Genomic DNA, 16495 nt, shown 5'->3' with positions numbered 1-16495 from the left:
CACTTCACAGGCCCACAGATGAGTCAAATGTGTCTGCAGAGTCATTTGATGCAATGTTGTTAATAGCAGAAACCTGGAAGCCCTCAGCATCAATGACGAGGCACTGGGACACCAATGGTGCAGAGCCCCCACGTGGACACTGGCCAGCAAAGGGGCTGAAGCAGCTCGCTGTGTCCTGGAGTCCAGTGACCACCAAGAAAGAAACGCAAGGTGTAGAGAAGAATGTGCATTCTGCTGCCATTGTGTACAGGGGGAAAATACACAGGCTTGGAGACATGTGCTTTTGAATTTATGTAAAGTAACTGGAAGGATACAGAAGAAATTGACAGTTTTGGTTGCCTCTGAGGAGGGCATCTATGTGGGCTGGCCAGTGTTAACAAGGAGATTTTAAATACAGATGCTCTTCAGCTTACGATGGGATTATGTCTTGATAAGCCCAGCATTAGTTGAAAATGTCCTACATCAAAGTGCATTAAGTACACCTAGACTACCTTCAGCATGCTCAGAACACTTCCATGCTACAGTTGGGAAAATCATCTGGCAACACAGTCCCCTGCAGAGGGTTGGTTGTTTACCCTTGTGATCGTATGGCTGTTGGAGCAACTCGGCCATTGCCCCACATCACAAGGATATCGACTACAGATCACCAGCCCAGGTAGAGATCAAAATCCAAAGTACAGTTTCTATTGAATATGTGTTGCTTTCCTACCATCATAAAGCCAAAAAATCATGCGTTGAGAATTGTAAGTCAGGGGCCCTCTCTATTAAAACATGGTAATCTTAGCTCTATTCAGTTAACAAGTGAGTAGTGAATAAGTGCTGCGAAAGAGATATCTGTATCTCTGTGAGCCCAGAGGACAAAATTATTAATGGGCATCCGCAAGTCTGGGATTGTGTATACACGCGCTTCACCCTAGCAAATGGCACTCCATTCCCAGAGCACTTCTCAGGAAGTGGGTTTGGGACGTCTCTGTTCTCGCTCACTTCAACGAATGCTGCACAGCCTGGGGTGGAGGGTGAGGGGCTTGACTCCTGGCTCTGCCGCGGTGGCCTGTGTGCCTCCACAACAGCCCCTTTGACCCCCGCCTCTGGGGTTCATGTCCTGGTGCATTCTCCTGTGTGTGTGGGCTGCACCTTGTGACTTGCTTCTGATGTATAGAATGACGATGGGGCAAAACTTCCAATGAGATTATACAGAAGACTCTGACTTCCATCTTGTTGGTGATACTCTTGTGCTGTGTCGGGGTTCCCAAGACCCACCCGTGGGTTTGGTGAAGACTCCCAGGACTCAGCACCTAGTCCTACTCTGCTATGATGTATTACACAAAAGGCTTGTGACTGCAGCAAAGGGAAAGGCACATGGGGTAACATCTAGAAAAAAACAGGTGCAGGCTTCCGAGAGTCCTCTCCCAGAGGAATCAAACAGGACAGACTTGATTGACCCAGTGAGTTGTGATTACACATGCAAAGTGTTGTCTTTCAGGGAAGCTCATTAAAGACTCAGTGCTCAGGGAGCTTACAGGGGTCATGTGGGCACCTGTCTGGCACCTCCAACATTCCAGACTCCCGCAGGGAAAGCAGGCACTCAGTGTATTGTTTGCATAAACAGTTTAGGCACATTGAACCACTCTTACCCGTTGGGATGTTGGGAACACTCCCAAAATCCAGGTTCCCAGAGGCCAACTAAGGGCCAGTCTTGCATTCAGGCCTTTTTAGGGAGAGTGGCCTTGGGCCTGCTGGGTAAAGTCCTCACACCTGCCTTACTGCAATGAATTAAGTGCAGCATTGGAAAAGCAAGGAACTGAGGCCCTTAGTCCAGCAACTGCCTTGGACCCTAATCCAGCCAACAACCCCATACATGAGCTTGGAAACAGATCCTGCCCTAGTTGAGGCTTGAGTCAACCCACTTCTTGAGAGATGTTAACTTTAAAAATACAAAAGCACTGTATTAGTCTGTTCTCATGCTGCTAATACAGACATACCTGAGACTGGCTAATTTATAAAGGAAAGAGGTTTAATTGACCCACAGTTCCACATGACTGGAGAGGCCTCACAATCATGACGGAAGGTGAATGGGGAGCAAAGTCACGTCTTACATGGTGGCAGGCAAGACAGCTTGTTCAGGGGAACTCCGACTTATAAAACCATCAGATCTTGTAAGACTTATTCACTACCATGAGACCAGTGTGAGAAATCACCACCCCCATGATTCAATTACCTCCCACAAAGTCCCGCCCACAATACATGGGAATGATGGGAGCTACAATTCAAGATCAGGTATCATATCAACCACAATTAATACATTTAGAAAACAGAGGAGACTTTATTTCTTGTAAAGGTTTCAGCCTGCAAGGTGGCCATCCTGCAGCCTGGGAAGCACAGCCTCCAGCCAAGACCAGAGAGAAACACCATGGAGGAAGAGAAGCTGGGACAGGAGCTTTATGCCGAACTGGTTGGCTAAACATGCATATTCAACAGGTGACAGGAGGAGCTATGAATATTCAGGATGGTCCTGGCACATGTGTATGGGACAAATGTTCGTGTAACATACCACCCATGTTCACTTTGGGATGGAGACTTAACATTTAAATGTACTACAGTTAGACCCTATATGTCAAAAGGTCTTTTCAGGACATGAAGGTGTCCAAGTGTACAGCCAGCCAGGACCAGTTCATGGTCAGGAGAAAGTTACTGGAATCAATCGCTTTGTACTACAGGCTCTTTGTAGTATACAAAGAGATTTCAGTAAGTTCAAGTCAAAGCTGCAGTTATGGCTGGTGGAATGGGGTCGGTTGGTTAACGTCTCTGAGCTGGATGAGCTGGAATTGTTTAACGTATCTCGAGGCCAGTGCTTGTTTAGTTGCTAGAGAAAAATACCCTTGGCCGTTAGAAGAAAGGTTAGGGATGTGTGATGTAACCCTTGCCTGGCATGGCCTTGGGTCCTGTTTACAATCTGGTATCTTACTGCTACAGAGAGTCTATTTGCCAGTCTTAAGATCTCTGTGTTAACATTAATGTCGGTCAGTTGTGTCTAAACCACAAAAGGGAGGGGGTAGAATGAGGTGTGTCTGACCTCACATCCCACTATGGCTGGGAGTTTAGTTTTAAGGTTTTTCTGGGGTCCTCTTGATCACAAGGAGTCCATTCAGTCAGCAGGGGGCTTAGAAGTTTATCTGAGTTTACAGAGACTTGGAAGCAGAAGACCCAGTTAAGCCCTGCCAGCATTTGTGACCTACAGAAGTTGTGAGATATTAAATATTGTTTCAAGCCACTACATCCTGGGGTAATTTGTTACAAACCCATAGATGACTGATACAGTCACTTACTTCTTGACTATGTGACCCTGGGCAAGTTTCTTATCATCTCTGGGCCTTTATTTCCTCATCTATAAAATGGGCAGATGGTAGCACCTACCCAGTAAGGTGTGCTGAGGCCTGAGTTAGTGAATACGTGTGTTGGGAAAAAGCTGAGTGTTGGGAAGAAGCCGAGGCAGGGCTTGCATGTCTGACATAAAGTAAAAGAGTCTTGGAACATGTCCGGGGTCCAGGGTCTAAAACCCCTTGTGCCCTTTGGCACACCAAGCTCTGTGCTAAAGAGTGGAAGGCTACCCTGACGTACCTAATCTAAGCCCAGGGCATAAAATCCCTCGTGGCTTGGATAGAATCCAGGGCTTGTGGCTCCGGAATGTGTCTAGGCTTGCTGGCTCCTTGCTCCTTGCTCTCCCAGGATCGATTGTATCTTGAGTTAAAAGAACCTGCTCTCCATTATCTCAAGTAGAGCAAATGCTAAACCATCACAGCTATAAATCATGTGCTTGATGCAACACGCCCTTTTGACCCCCACATTCTGGCCACCTCCTTCTCTGTTGGATTACCAATAAATAGCGTGGGCTCCCAGAGCTCGGGGCCTTTGCAGCCTCCATGATCGCGATGGTCCCCTGGCCCCACTTTACTTCTCAAACTTTTTCTCAATCCTTTGACTCTGCCAGACTTCGTCACCCCCACGACCTGGTGTTGGGTCTGATCACCCCAACATATGTGCAGTGCACTGAGAACGGCACCTGACAGCTAGTGTTTCAAGGTGGGGGCTGGTTGGGGTGCGAGGTGCTAAGACAGCACATTTACTGATAATCATTTATTTATCTATTTGCTAGTGAATAAAACTTTTTGACTGGGGGATCCAAAGATAAGGTGGGTGAAGCATATAGAACTTAAATGTCATCTTTGCTCACATATTTGCCTGCTGCAAAATCTTCAATACTAGCAGAAACTAACATAGTCACTGAATCACAGCCCTGAGAACCAAGGAGCATCACATAGTTCATGTGTTCTTGTTCTAATTTCCTTTTATTGGTCTGGGGAGGAGGTACCTCGTGCCCTTCTGCTGAGCTGTCAGTGTCAGGGCACCCTGGAGCTGGTTGCAGCGGGAAACACAGAATTGCATAACTGACTGCTTTTTAATGTCAAACACGAATTTCTACTACCTACCTCTCACATCCTCAATGCCAAACTTCAGCATCAAAGATTATTTTAAACTACCTTATGAAAAACTAATAAAAACTAGAAAACATTGGCCCTGCACTCCAAGTATCCAAGCACCCGGCAATTGATGCAAATTTGTGTTCTGATTAGGTCATTAGGTTATTTATAAGATAATTGTTGGTGTCAAGAGAACAACTTCACTTTACAATTAAAATTGAAATATCTGTGGTATGCTTTTCCAGGTGGATTTTGGTTACAACAAATGACATTTTCCAGTATCAAGATCTCTGAAATTTCAACCCATTTTAAACAACTACAATATAAAGGGTCCAGAGAATGTACTAATGGGATATTACCAGAACCAGCACACAGATAAGCCTCTTCATAAAACTGATCACCTTTCACGATCGGCCCTGCCCATTTGTATATTATGGTGTGTGTTAGAACTTGTTAGACAAATCAATCTTTGGAAGCCAGTTTCCCTGGGAAACACTCTGCGCTAGAGATTTGCGTGCAGGAAGTTTGGATCATTCCCTGCAGCTGAGTGAAAGAAGCAGGGTTGGGTGGATGGGGCTGAAGGAGACATGGGGCTGTGTCGCAGGCATGACAGGCCCCAGCGGGTCCCACGGGGTGCTCTGGAGCTGCATGACGTGGCAGAGTTGGGGTGAGAGTTGACACCGCACCTCCAACATCAACCAGCCGTTAGATGTGGGGTGTGGGCTGCCCTGGGAAAGATCATGACTTCGGCAGGGAGACTTTCTTCAGCTGGGGGAACTCCCCAAGAGTGTCCCAGCTACCAGCTGAGACTGTCTCAGCTCCTGGACAGCTCCAGACCTGAAGACCTCCTTATCTGCTCCACCACTTCAATACGTCTGTTCACATGGTTGAGTAATGATTAGAAAGACAGCAATAGGAAGTATAACCTCCAAATCACTAGAAAAGAAAAGTCACAAAATTGCATCAGTCTAAGGAAAGAGAAGAAAGGAAGAAAAAAGGATAGAAGGCTGGGTGCGGTGGCTAACGCCTGTAATCCCAGCACTTTGGGAGGCCAAGGCAGGCGGATCACGAGGTCAGGAGATCGAGATGAGACCATCCTGGCTAACACAGTGAAACCCCGTCTCTACTAAAAATACAAAAAACATTAGCTGGGCGTGGTGGCGGGTGCCTGTAGTCCCAGCTACTCGGGAGGCTGAGGCAGGAGAATGGCGTGAACCCAGGAGGCGGAGCTTGCAGTGAGCCAAGATCGCACCACTACACTCCAGCCTGGGCGACAGACCGAGACTCCGTTTCAAAAAAAAAAAAAAGATAGAAATAGCAAGAAAACATACTAACCAGAAAATGCAAAACAGCTCACAAAATGGAAATAAGACTGACATACGTAGGCAAATGCTAATGCAAGATGCAGGTGTGGATACTTAATTTTAATTATGTTTTGAATAGTTAAACACTGAGTTCAATATTTGAGAGATTCAGCTCTGTGAAATGCTCCCTCCCACCCCCTTGCCCAGCCCCATCCTCTGTGGGCAGCCAGCAGTAACAGTTTCCTGTCCATCCCTCGAGATATTCTGTGCAGATAGGTAGATATGATTTTCCCCTGTTAAACATTTTTTTTTTTTGAGACAGGTTGTCACTCTGTCACCCAGGCTGGAGTGCAGTGGCATGATCTTGGCTCACTGCAACCTCCACCTCCCAAGTTCAAGTGATTATCCTGCCTCAGCCTCCCCAGTAACTGGGATTACAGGTATGCACCACCACACCCAGCTAATTTTTGTATTTTTCATAGACATGGGGTTTCACCATGTTGGCCAGTCTGCTCTCAAACTCCTGACCTCAAATGATCTGCCTGCATTGGCCTCCCAAAGTGCTGATATAGGCATGAGCCACCTTGCCCAGCCGTGTTACACAAATATTGACATCTATTCAGAATGTTTTGTTCCTAGGATTTGTTTTTGTTTAATCACAGGTCTGACAGATCATTTCCTATCAGTACATAAGGAGGTCATTCTTTCCAGAGTGGCAGAGGGTCCCTTGTTTATCCAGACCCCTGTGAATACATATGTGGATTACTTCCAATCCTTTGTTATTACCTACAAAGCCTGCAATGATAACGCTGTACCTTTCATTTCAAATATTGCACACGTGTGTGCGTTAGAATAAATTCCTAGGAGTCGTATTTATTGGTCAAGGAGTATGTGTGTTTTAAATTATGATAGGTATTAGGTATGTCAATATATCAAAAAAACACAGTTCATGGCAAGACACAGAAAATAGGGGAACAGGGAAACTTTCTACATTTGATATTTATAAAAGGAATAACCTGTCAAGAACACATGACAGCACTTAATCTTAAAGCACCTTACAACAATCACCACAAACACAAAATAATTCAAAAAGAACTTAAGCACCTTACAACCACCACCACAAATACAAAATAATTCAGAAAGAACTTAAACAAGCACCATACAACAATCACCACAAACACAAAATAATTCAAAAAGAAATAAGCACCTTGCAACAATCACCACAAACACAAAATAATTCAAAAAGAACTTAAATAAGCACCTTGTGACAATCACCACAAACACAAAATAATTCAAAAAGAACTTAAGCACCTTCCAACAATCACCACAAACAGCAAATAATTCAAAAAGAACTTAAACAAGCACCATACAACAATCACCACAAACACAAAATAATTCAAAAAGAACTTAAGCACCTTACAACAATCACCACAAATACAAAATAATTCAAAAAGAACTTAAACAAGCACCTTACAAGAACCACCACAGATACAAAATAATTCAAAAAGAACTTAAACAAGCACCTTACAAGAACCACCACAAATACCAAATAATTCAAAAAGAACTTAAACAAGCACCTTACAACAATCACCACAGATACAAAATAATTCAAAAAGGACATATAAAAGCACCTTACAACAATAACCAAAAAATACAAAATAATTCAAAAAGAACTTAAAAAAGCACCTTACAACAATCACCACAAATACAAAATAATTCAAAAAGGACATATAAAAGCACCTTACAACAATAACCAAAAAATACAAAATAATTCAAAAAGAACTTAAAAAAGCACCTTACAGAAATAATCAAAAATAAAAAATAATTCAAGAAGAATTTAAGCACCTTATAACAATCACCACAAATACAAAATAATTCAAAAAGAACTTAAACAAGCACCTTACAACAATAACCAAAATGCAAAATAATTCAAAAAGAACTTAAACAAGCACCTTACAACAATCACCACAAATACAAAATAATTCAAAAAGAGCTTAAACAAGCACCTTACAACAATAACCAAAAAATACTAAATAATTCAAAAAGAACTTAAAAAAGCACCTTACAACAATAAACAAAAAATACTAAATAATTCAAAAAGAACTTAAAAAAGCACATTAGAACAAAATATTGGGTAAAGCAAAAACTGTTACCAATATAATAAGAAATAGACAAATCTACGGTTATATAAAAAATTTTTAATACTAGCATCTAACAGAAATTGACAAAATACAGGGATTTGAATATCAATTAACGAGCTTGAGTAAACACAGAATAGTGTGATAGAACACATGGTACAGGTGATCAATAACTCAAAAGCATATTCTTTTGAGAAGACCAATAAAATAAGACAAATATATGTTAATTGCTCAAGGAAAACAGAAAGAGAGAAGGTCATTACACTAATGGAGACTCTTACGCTTGCAAGAACATACTAAGTCCACTTGCACACCAATGGATTTGAAAATATACATGAAGTAGAAATAGCCAAGTAGGCACAAGTTAGCAGCATTGTTCCAAGAAGAGAAAAGCCTGAGTAGGAATAATATTCATAGAAAAATGGAAAAGGCATTTGGAGATCTACCCATTTTCATACCCTTTAGCCCCAAGAAAAGAGGCACTAGGCCAGGGAGGTTTCCAGGTAAGTGTTACCACATTTTCAAGAAAGATCTATTTTCTGTGTTAAACTCATTCTATAGAAAAAGCTGGAAATTTCCGCCTGCCATTCTGTGATGCTAGCATATCCAGGAGACTCACGGTAGATGAAGGTACCCACAGAGGAAACACTAACACTCTTACCATCGCCGACATAAATAGGCCTCATAAAACATCAGTGGCACAAATCGAGCAGTGATTAAAAAAATGAGCCTGTCACGATGCATTCATGAAACATAAGGAAGTATACTCTCATATAATGACATGCTTATACATTTATTAATCATTTGTATGATAAAATATATATGAATTTACATCTTTAATATGACATAAGGAATTATAAGGAATATTATGAAGTTAAAGAATAAAATATAATTATTGATACACTAAAATCCAAGATTCATTCCTTATTTTAAAAAATAACAATAAACAAGAGTAAAAGGAAACTTATTTAATTTGATAAGGCGTATGTACCAGAAATCCTGTATCAAGCATCATACTAACGGTAAAATATTTTGTTTTAATTGTTAACATTTTAAATGTATTTAAAAATAGAGAGGGTTTCTCCATGTTGGCCAGGCTGGTCTTGAACTCCTGGCTTCAAGTGATCTGCCCACCTCGGCCTCCCAAAGTGCTGGAATTACAGGCATGAACCATTATGCCTGGCCTTAACGCTAAAATCCTAAAAACAGAAACAAGGTAACAGATGTTGCTGTCAACATTCCACATCTGAGGTGCAGCCTTGGGAAGATGAGACTAACACTGCCCCTATTTGCACTTCATATAATTATCTATGTAAGAAAATAAACTGAAAAGGCATAAAAGCTCACAATAGCTTAATAATTTTTTAAAGATGAAAGACATTATAAGAATTTTTTTAAAAAGTGACACACTGGGACAAAGTATTTGCTGTGTATGTTAGACACCCCACATCCATAATATGTAAATAGCTTCTGCAAATCAATAAGAAAAAGATGAGTCATTTGAGAGAAAATTTGGCAAAGGAGTAATTTGCAAAAAAAAGAAAAGGACATACAAATGGCCGATAAACAGCTCCACTTATACTAAAAACTAAAAAATGATAATATGAATGAATTTAAATTTTTACTCTTCAAAGTGGTACAAGTTTAAGGAGTAGAGACATTCAGCTAAGAGGATGCTACAGGGATATGGGTACTTTTGGAATAGCTGGGTCTTCTTGCAAGGTGGGCTTTCCATGTGCTTCTGATCCAGAGAGGTGGTGGTGTTTGTGTTTGACGAAGCTGCTGACACTGCTGTGCTGACATCTGGCGAAGTGAAGGTCTGAGTACAGAGAAGGTGGCTACTCTAAGACTTCCACCGCAGTAGTTGCAAAAAGCCAGCAAATCAGATGGATGATGACCTTCACTTACAGCAGCTGGTCCTCCCATGGTGCTGCTGGACAATGGCCAAGTTCATCCCTGGTCATGGCTGTGCTGGCTGTGACGTCTCCAGAGGTGGCAATCATGGCAGAATCCTTCATTAGCGCGAGATGCACAAAGAATCAGAACAAAAACTGCAACTATGTTCTTAAGCATCACCGGAAAGTCCGAGACCACGTTTTTTGCCTGTACTCTTTCACCGGCTGAAATTAATTCTTAGGACAACATCATCTGCTTGTTATAAACTCAGGCAAGAGGGTGGCATCACACCTTTTCTGCATCATGCTGTATATTGACTTGCTTGTTTTGTTTACTGTCTGCCTCCTTCCCTTTTGAAAGCAAGCTCCATGAGGACAGGGAAGTTCGTCTCCATTCCCAGTGTTGGCCTCAGTAAGTGTTTGTTGAATGAATGTTGGTGAACAAATAAATCCCCAGCCTCTGGTGTTCTGTGCAATCCCAGACTCTCCAGGGGAAGCACTGAATTACTGGTCCCTGCCACAGGAGACTTCTCTGCTGTGCTGATCGGGGTTGCAGTTTGGAAGGAAGGAGGTGGGACCAGCGCTCTGGCCATCCATGCAGGAGGTGTGTAGGGGTCTTTGATTTGCCTCCCTCCCCACACTTATCACGGGACTCAGGGAAGGGCTTTTGACCAACCTGCCGGGGACACCTGTGTAACCAGAGTAGCTAACTCTGATTCAGGCAATGCTCATTCACCGTCTTCTACCTGAGCCACAGCTCCCCTCTTGGAGCCCCTTTTTTTTCTTGGCCAACATTTGTCAAGGGCTTAGTGTCTCAGTTCAACATGGAAACACGCTCCCTGGTGGCATCATGACCTGACTCGTCTTCCATGAAGAAGCTGAGGTGCAGGCAGAGGGGCTTGCTGGGGGATGGAGCTGGGGTTAGCTGCTAGGCTGGGCTGGGACGGGAGCCTGGCCAGGCTGGTTGTGATGCTGGCTGGTGGCAAGGAAGGAGGAAGTGTTCGTGCACCCAGCAGATGTGAATCCATCTTACCTGGTGAATACAATGTCTCTAAGATGCCAGCATGAGATCGCACTCAGTGCTCTGAGGGACAGAGCCTTGTCCTAAGGGAGCCGCAGTCCTTAAGGGAGCTAACCAAGCTGAGGCGCTGCCTGGGGAGGGAGGGTAGAGTAGAAGAGCAAGGCTGAGTGCCAGGGAGGAGGAGGGAGGGGGTGGAAGAGAAGACACGGGTCTGCCTGAGGGTTGGGGCCAGATCTGAGGGACAGGGAGGACTGGGTAGCAAGCCGGGGGCGGAACACCCACTACCCGCAGCCCTAGCCCCACTCCGCTAAGTCTACACTAGGACACTCACCTGCTTTAACACTGCACACCTGTGGATGTCTTAGAGGCACTTTTCATGCTGTTGACATGTGAGGAACCTGGGGCTCAGGATGGGCGCCGTGTACCGCAGCCACCTCAGCCGGCCCAGTGGCAGAGCTGGAGTGTGCTGTGTGTAAATGCCTCCACAGTCACCACACGCTGATCTGGGACATGATATTCTGTCTCCACCGCCCAAAGCAAGGTTTGGCAAACAAGCTTCTCTAGAGTTTCTGGATTTCCCAGGAGCTGTAAAAAGTAAAAAAATAAAACCTCACTAGCACTGTTGGAAATCATTCCTTTTTACATTCTGCTTTAAATCCACATTTTTAAGCAATTCCAAATTGAACTGGCTTAATTGCACCCTCTTTCAGGATGCTCCTAAGAGAAGTGGGTGCCACGTGGTTGCCTTCCCTGTGAATTTCAGGGATGGATGACTTTTCTCTCATGCCCTTTGGGGACTGGCCAGTGTTTGGGCACGGTGTCTGGTGTGTGCTGGGGCAGCAGGCGAAGGTGGCTGCCTCTCAGGAAAGGAGAGGGGAAGATGACTCACTTTGAAGCTGGCCTGGGCTGGGGGGCCTGCCCTTTTCATTGCCTGCTAGCGAATTGTTTCAGTTTCCTGGGGCTGCCATCACAAAGCAGCACAAATTAGAGGCTTGAACAACCGAGATGGATTGTTTCTCTGTTCCGGAGGTGGGAAGTCCAAAGTCAAGGTGTGGGCAGGGCTGGTCATCTCTGAGGGCTGTGTGGGGAGGACAGGTTCCAGGCCTCTCTCCTTGGCTTGTCCATGACCATGTTCATGGTCACACTGTGTTCTCCTTGTGTGTGTGTGTGTGTCTGTCGCCACATTTCCCTTTTTCTGTAGGGACACCAGTCATATGGGCTGATGCCTCACCCTGATAACTCGATTTAACTTGGTAAAGACCCTCCCTCCACATAAGCTCCCATTCTGAGGTACTTAGGATTAGGACTTCAGCACATGCATTTCAAGAGGGACACAGTTTAGCCCATTGCACGCATCCTGGGGCCAGGTGCAGGGAGCACACAGCGTCAGATGGAAGATGGTCATGGCCATCCTGAGCAGCTGGGTGGGGCGCTGTGGAGGAGAGCCCGAAGGCCAGGCTGATGGGCTCTGGTCCAGCACAACTGCAACTGCACGGGGCTGATGGGGGTTTGTGATGCTGACTGTTGTGATGCTTTGTTCACAGGAGGCTGGGTGACGGCAGTGAGGGGAAAAGACAAGGTTAGCTATGAGCCCAGCACCTCAAGAAGGAACTGAGCCCGGGATTTTTTTTTTTTTCATCATCCCGAAGCAGAAATTGCATACCATGAGGGCCAGGTGCTGGGCTACCTTGTCTCTTGACCTTCCAGGTCCTCACTGCAACCTGGAAACAGAGACACTCACTGTTGCCATACCCTTGGCCTTCCCATCACCAAGGCTGGGCAGAGTGGTTTGGACTAAAGATTTGATAATTAGGAAAAAATTAAAGCCCCAGCTCATCTTCTCATCTTCCCCTTCCAGGGAGAACACAGAGAGGACTGGGCCTGGAGAGAAGAAGCCGACCGAGCATGTTCCGGGGAACCGGCCATGGCCCCCCAGGGCTCACCAACCAAGGGGAACTGCAGGGAAACAGCTTCGTGGAAAAACTCCCTGCCTCTTCCTTTTCCCCTTCTTCCCTCCCTCGGTCCTTCCCTCTAGTCTACCACAGCCCTCCCCTGCAGCACACACAGTCTGGATACTGGCCACATCCTTAAATACAGGCCTTGCCCTGGAGTGGCTCCCTGGGTAGTCAAACTAATTCTCAAATCAATATGTCATGTATCATGGGCATACTATATCACATATGACATATGTGATGTATATGTATATGTGTTAGGTAACATCCAATGATATCATGGAAAGACAAGTCCCTCACTCCCTGCTGAAATTTTCAGCTGCGATGTGACCTCGGAGTGGGGGCTGTGCGGCGGGGTCGAATTCCTCAGGGGAGAGACTGCCTCGTGCTTTTATTAGGGGGTAGAGTTTAAAAGCATATGTATTTAGCATTATGAGTATAAATTCTGCATTAAGAATATAAATTCTAGTTCTATGAATATAAATTCTACGTTTGGAAGAGGAAACTACAAACTTAGAAAAAATAACATAAACTGCAGAAAATTAACAGATTTTTTGCCTTGTGGAGCATAGAAAATCCACCTCCTGCGGTGACGGCACCCTTACCCTCATTTACTCCCATCCGGAGTCTATGGGGGAGGTCAGCGTGGGGAAAGAGATGCTCAGCTTCGTCCAAAGCGGTTTCCAAAGGTCCCAGAACCCAGGGCTGTAGACGCAGAAGGCGGGGCGGTGTCCACACTCGCGCACCGCAGCCCGGTGGCTCTCAGGCCCCCACCAGGCGCGACCCTTCCCTCTCCTCTGCCACCTGGAAGGGACGGAGCACCTGACGCGCGCATCGGGGGCAAACGCCGCAAGTTTCTGTGACGTGAGGTCTTTGCAGGTTGCCGGGGCCTTCCTCCCACAGGGACACGCGGCCTGCGCCCTCCTAGGCGTGCAGGTGCGGCTGGGAACTGGCGCCCTTCAAAGCCCCAGTGTCCCGGAGCCGACAGCGCGCGGGTGGAGGAGCTGCAGAAAGGGGCCCACGCCGCAAAGGCGCTGTTGTCGAGGTCCCCCATGGGGTTCCAGGGCTGGTGCTGGCGAGCCCCGGCCGCGCCGCCCCATCTTTACCGCGCACCCCGGCCGCTCCGCCCCCTCTACCGCGCACCCCGGCCGCGCCGCCCCCTCTACCGCGCACTCCGGCCCGCCCAGCCCCCGCGGCCCCGCGTTCCCCGCCTCCCGCGGCTCCTCAGCCCAGCGGCCAGCAGGGGATGCTGCCGGGCTCCGAGGCCCGGGTCCTGCGCGGCGCCGCGGGGAGACACGCGAGTCCCGGGCCGGCGCCGCCCTAGGCCGGGAGGGTGTGCAGCGTGACTGCGGCGAGCCCCGACGCCCGAGAAGCGGGGACCTGCTCTCGGGGGGATTCTTTGGAGACAGCCTGGGCGCTGGGGAATCCGGCGGGTGGGGAGGACCCAGCTCGGCCCTTGAGGCGCTCAGGCCTAGTCCAGGCCATACAGGTGTGCAGGACAGGGACCAGCCACAGGCCGCACGCACCTTAATATGCAGTGAATAAAAAAGACCAGACGGACCTGGGGTTGATGACGCCATCTGAACAAAGCGTCCCCGCCCCACATACCGTTCGCCCCTCCTGAGTCCGTCTCGTCGGTGGGAGCAGAGCCAGGGAAAATCACTAAGGACTCTCCCCTCCAAGGCGAGGACTTGCCTGACCCGCTTAGGCAGCGCCAGCCTCCCAGGTGCAGGTGGCTTCGCCCTCCCCTAGCTGGAGTTAGGGTGTGTCCATGCTCTGAGTCCTGGACTCCAGGAGGTACTCACCGTGTCAGCAGAAGGACGCATGAATCTATTTGAGGTCACGTACCAAAGAGCTGCAGCGCCTGGCTCCTTAATGCAGAGGCATTAGGAAGCGAGTTGTCTACTTGCGATGAATGATGAAGGACTCCACTTTACAGAGGAAGAGAGAAAACCTTGCCGCAAATCAGTCACCTTCGGACTCCAACCTAATTGACCAAAGTTAGGTTATTGATGAGGTTATTGATGGGCTGGACACCAGTGAGCTGAGAACGAGCAGTAGTTAATCCCCAGTGTCCACAAAGAGCCTGATGGCCACTGTCCCTCCATGTCCCCTCCCGGCCCAGGAGTCAGCCAGGCACCTGGGCACCGTTCACTGGGTTTTCCTGCAGGGCTGTGTGGGGGTGAGCACAGGGTGGCCCCTCTCCTTCCCGAACCCTTAATTTCTTATTGTTATATGTGTCCTTCTCACAGGGGAAGCTGAACCCAGGATGAGCTTATTCAAAAATATGTTTTTCTATTCCCCTCAAAAGGAATTGGCAGTAAACGTGTTTCTCTTTTTTACTCTCTGGAATTTTATCTGTATCTTGAAATTCCTGCCAAAACCCACAATCTAAGGCGATGCATTATTTAAAAATCAACTGAATTTCAACTAGAAATGGAATGTGAACATTATAAAGCAGAAGCTACTCTTCAGCTCTTTTCCTGGTTCCCCAGAGAAACCAGGCAAGGAGATGATGTGGGGGTTGGTCAGAATCTGGGGGAGACAAAGGGTGGGCTTCCTGGGGCCTGTGCTTCTTGGGGCCAGTTAGCTGGGTGACCTCAGGAGACACCCGACGGTGTCTCAATTCTCTCACTGCTGAAAGAGGCGGGTGGGACCTATGGATTGTCCGTATCCCTTCCAGCTTGGATCTGTCATTCCACGGCTAGGTGCTGAGAGCCTACAGGTCCCACTTGGCAGCCTTCCGAGTTACCTGCTTGGGGAAGGTTTCATGATGCATGGTTTGCATCCTGTCCCCTGAGTAAAGGGTCTTCTCGTGAATCCCTCAGATCTTCTCGTACCCTTCTCCAACTGTCAACATACAGATCAATGTGAAAAAAGACACTGATTTATTTCTGTTTTACTTATTTATTTTTTGGAAATGGGGCTTTGAGCTGTGGCCCAGGTTGGAATGCAGTGGCACCATCATAGCTCACTGTAACCTCAAACTTCTGGCCTCAAGGGATCCCCCACCTCAGCCTCGAAAAACTCTGGGATTACAAGCATGAACCAGTGCACCAGGCCCTGATTTGTCTCTGAATCATGAAGTTTTGCCAGTTGTCTTGCAGATAGAATGCTTTAGCATGTGTTTGTGTTGTAATCTGAAGCTAATGATTGTAACCTCTTTGGGACACCCTGGTACCCTCCAATGGAAAGGACAACTCCAATGTAAGGAGTGCCCTCCCCTCCCTGCTCCTAAACTTTCTCATAGAACTATTCTGACCCTGGAACAATCCTCACATTTGGCTTCCAGTAAACCTTTCTCAAATTATTTCTGCCTCAATAGCCTTAATTTTGGCTGACAGTATTTAGCAGTTTAACTGCAATAGAGTTAAATTTTATACATTGTGTGTGTGAGAGGGGGAAGTGTGGGGATTTCAAGTCAGCAGACTTGCAGTCTTGGAGTGAGGAAGGCTTTTAAAATTTTGAACCCAAACCCAGATACATTAAAAAAACAATAAAATCAACCACACAAAAATCTTCTGAATGAAAAAAGACCCATAAAATAGTCATGACAAAAAAAAAAAAAAAACACCAAACAAACAAACAAAAGGAAAGGCATCCCAAATCAAGGGACTAATTTATTCTTTAATAAACAAAGAGTGCCTCCAAATCAAACAGAAAAAGATCAACAGAGAAAGAGGTAAAAATATCTATCTATCTATATA

General features: G+C 46.2%; 1 long non-coding RNA gene across 2 annotated transcripts, besides 2 other annotated features; it reads right to left on the bottom strand.

Annotated features, from left to right (window-relative positions):
- Positions 1–8694: 8694 nt before the first annotated feature.
- LINC01018 (long intergenic non-protein coding RNA 1018) lies at positions 8695–15059 on the bottom strand. 2 transcript variants are annotated; one of them, NR_024423.2, is made up of 5 exons: positions 14929–15059; positions 14594–14775; positions 13394–13592; positions 11168–11421; positions 8695–10967 (listed from the first exon to the last, which is right to left on the bottom strand). It is a non-coding gene; the product is annotated as a long intergenic non-protein coding RNA 1018 (long non-coding RNA). The 2 variants fall into 2 exon arrangements; NR_024424.2 differs by lacking the exons at positions 14594–14775; positions 14929–15059 and having other exon boundaries at positions 13394–13919.
- Positions 13719–13880: a silencer, noted in NCBI's record as "fragment chr5:6583428-6583589 (GRCh37/hg19 assembly coordinates)". NCBI's record gives its function as "represses an EF-1alpha promoter that drives an FKBP-Casp9 reporter gene in an ReSE screen in K562 erythroleukemia cells {active_cell/tissue: K562}" and the evidence as "EXISTENCE:reporter gene assay evidence [ECO:0000049][PMID:32094911]".
- Positions 13928–13977: a silencer, noted in NCBI's record as "silent region_15898". NCBI's record gives its function as "represses an Ori minimal core promoter by ATAC-STARR-seq in GM12878 lymphoblastoid cells {active_cell/tissue: GM12878}" and the evidence as "EXISTENCE:reporter gene assay evidence [ECO:0000049][PMID:35858748]".
- Positions 15060–16495: the final 1436 nt, after the last annotated feature.

Source organism: Homo sapiens, chromosome 5, assembly GCF_000001405.40.
Source record: "Homo sapiens chromosome 5, GRCh38.p14 Primary Assembly".
Lineage (NCBI taxonomy): Eukaryota > Metazoa > Chordata > Mammalia > Primates > Hominidae > Homo > Homo sapiens.
This window is presented reverse-complemented; position numbering and strand designations above follow the sequence as displayed.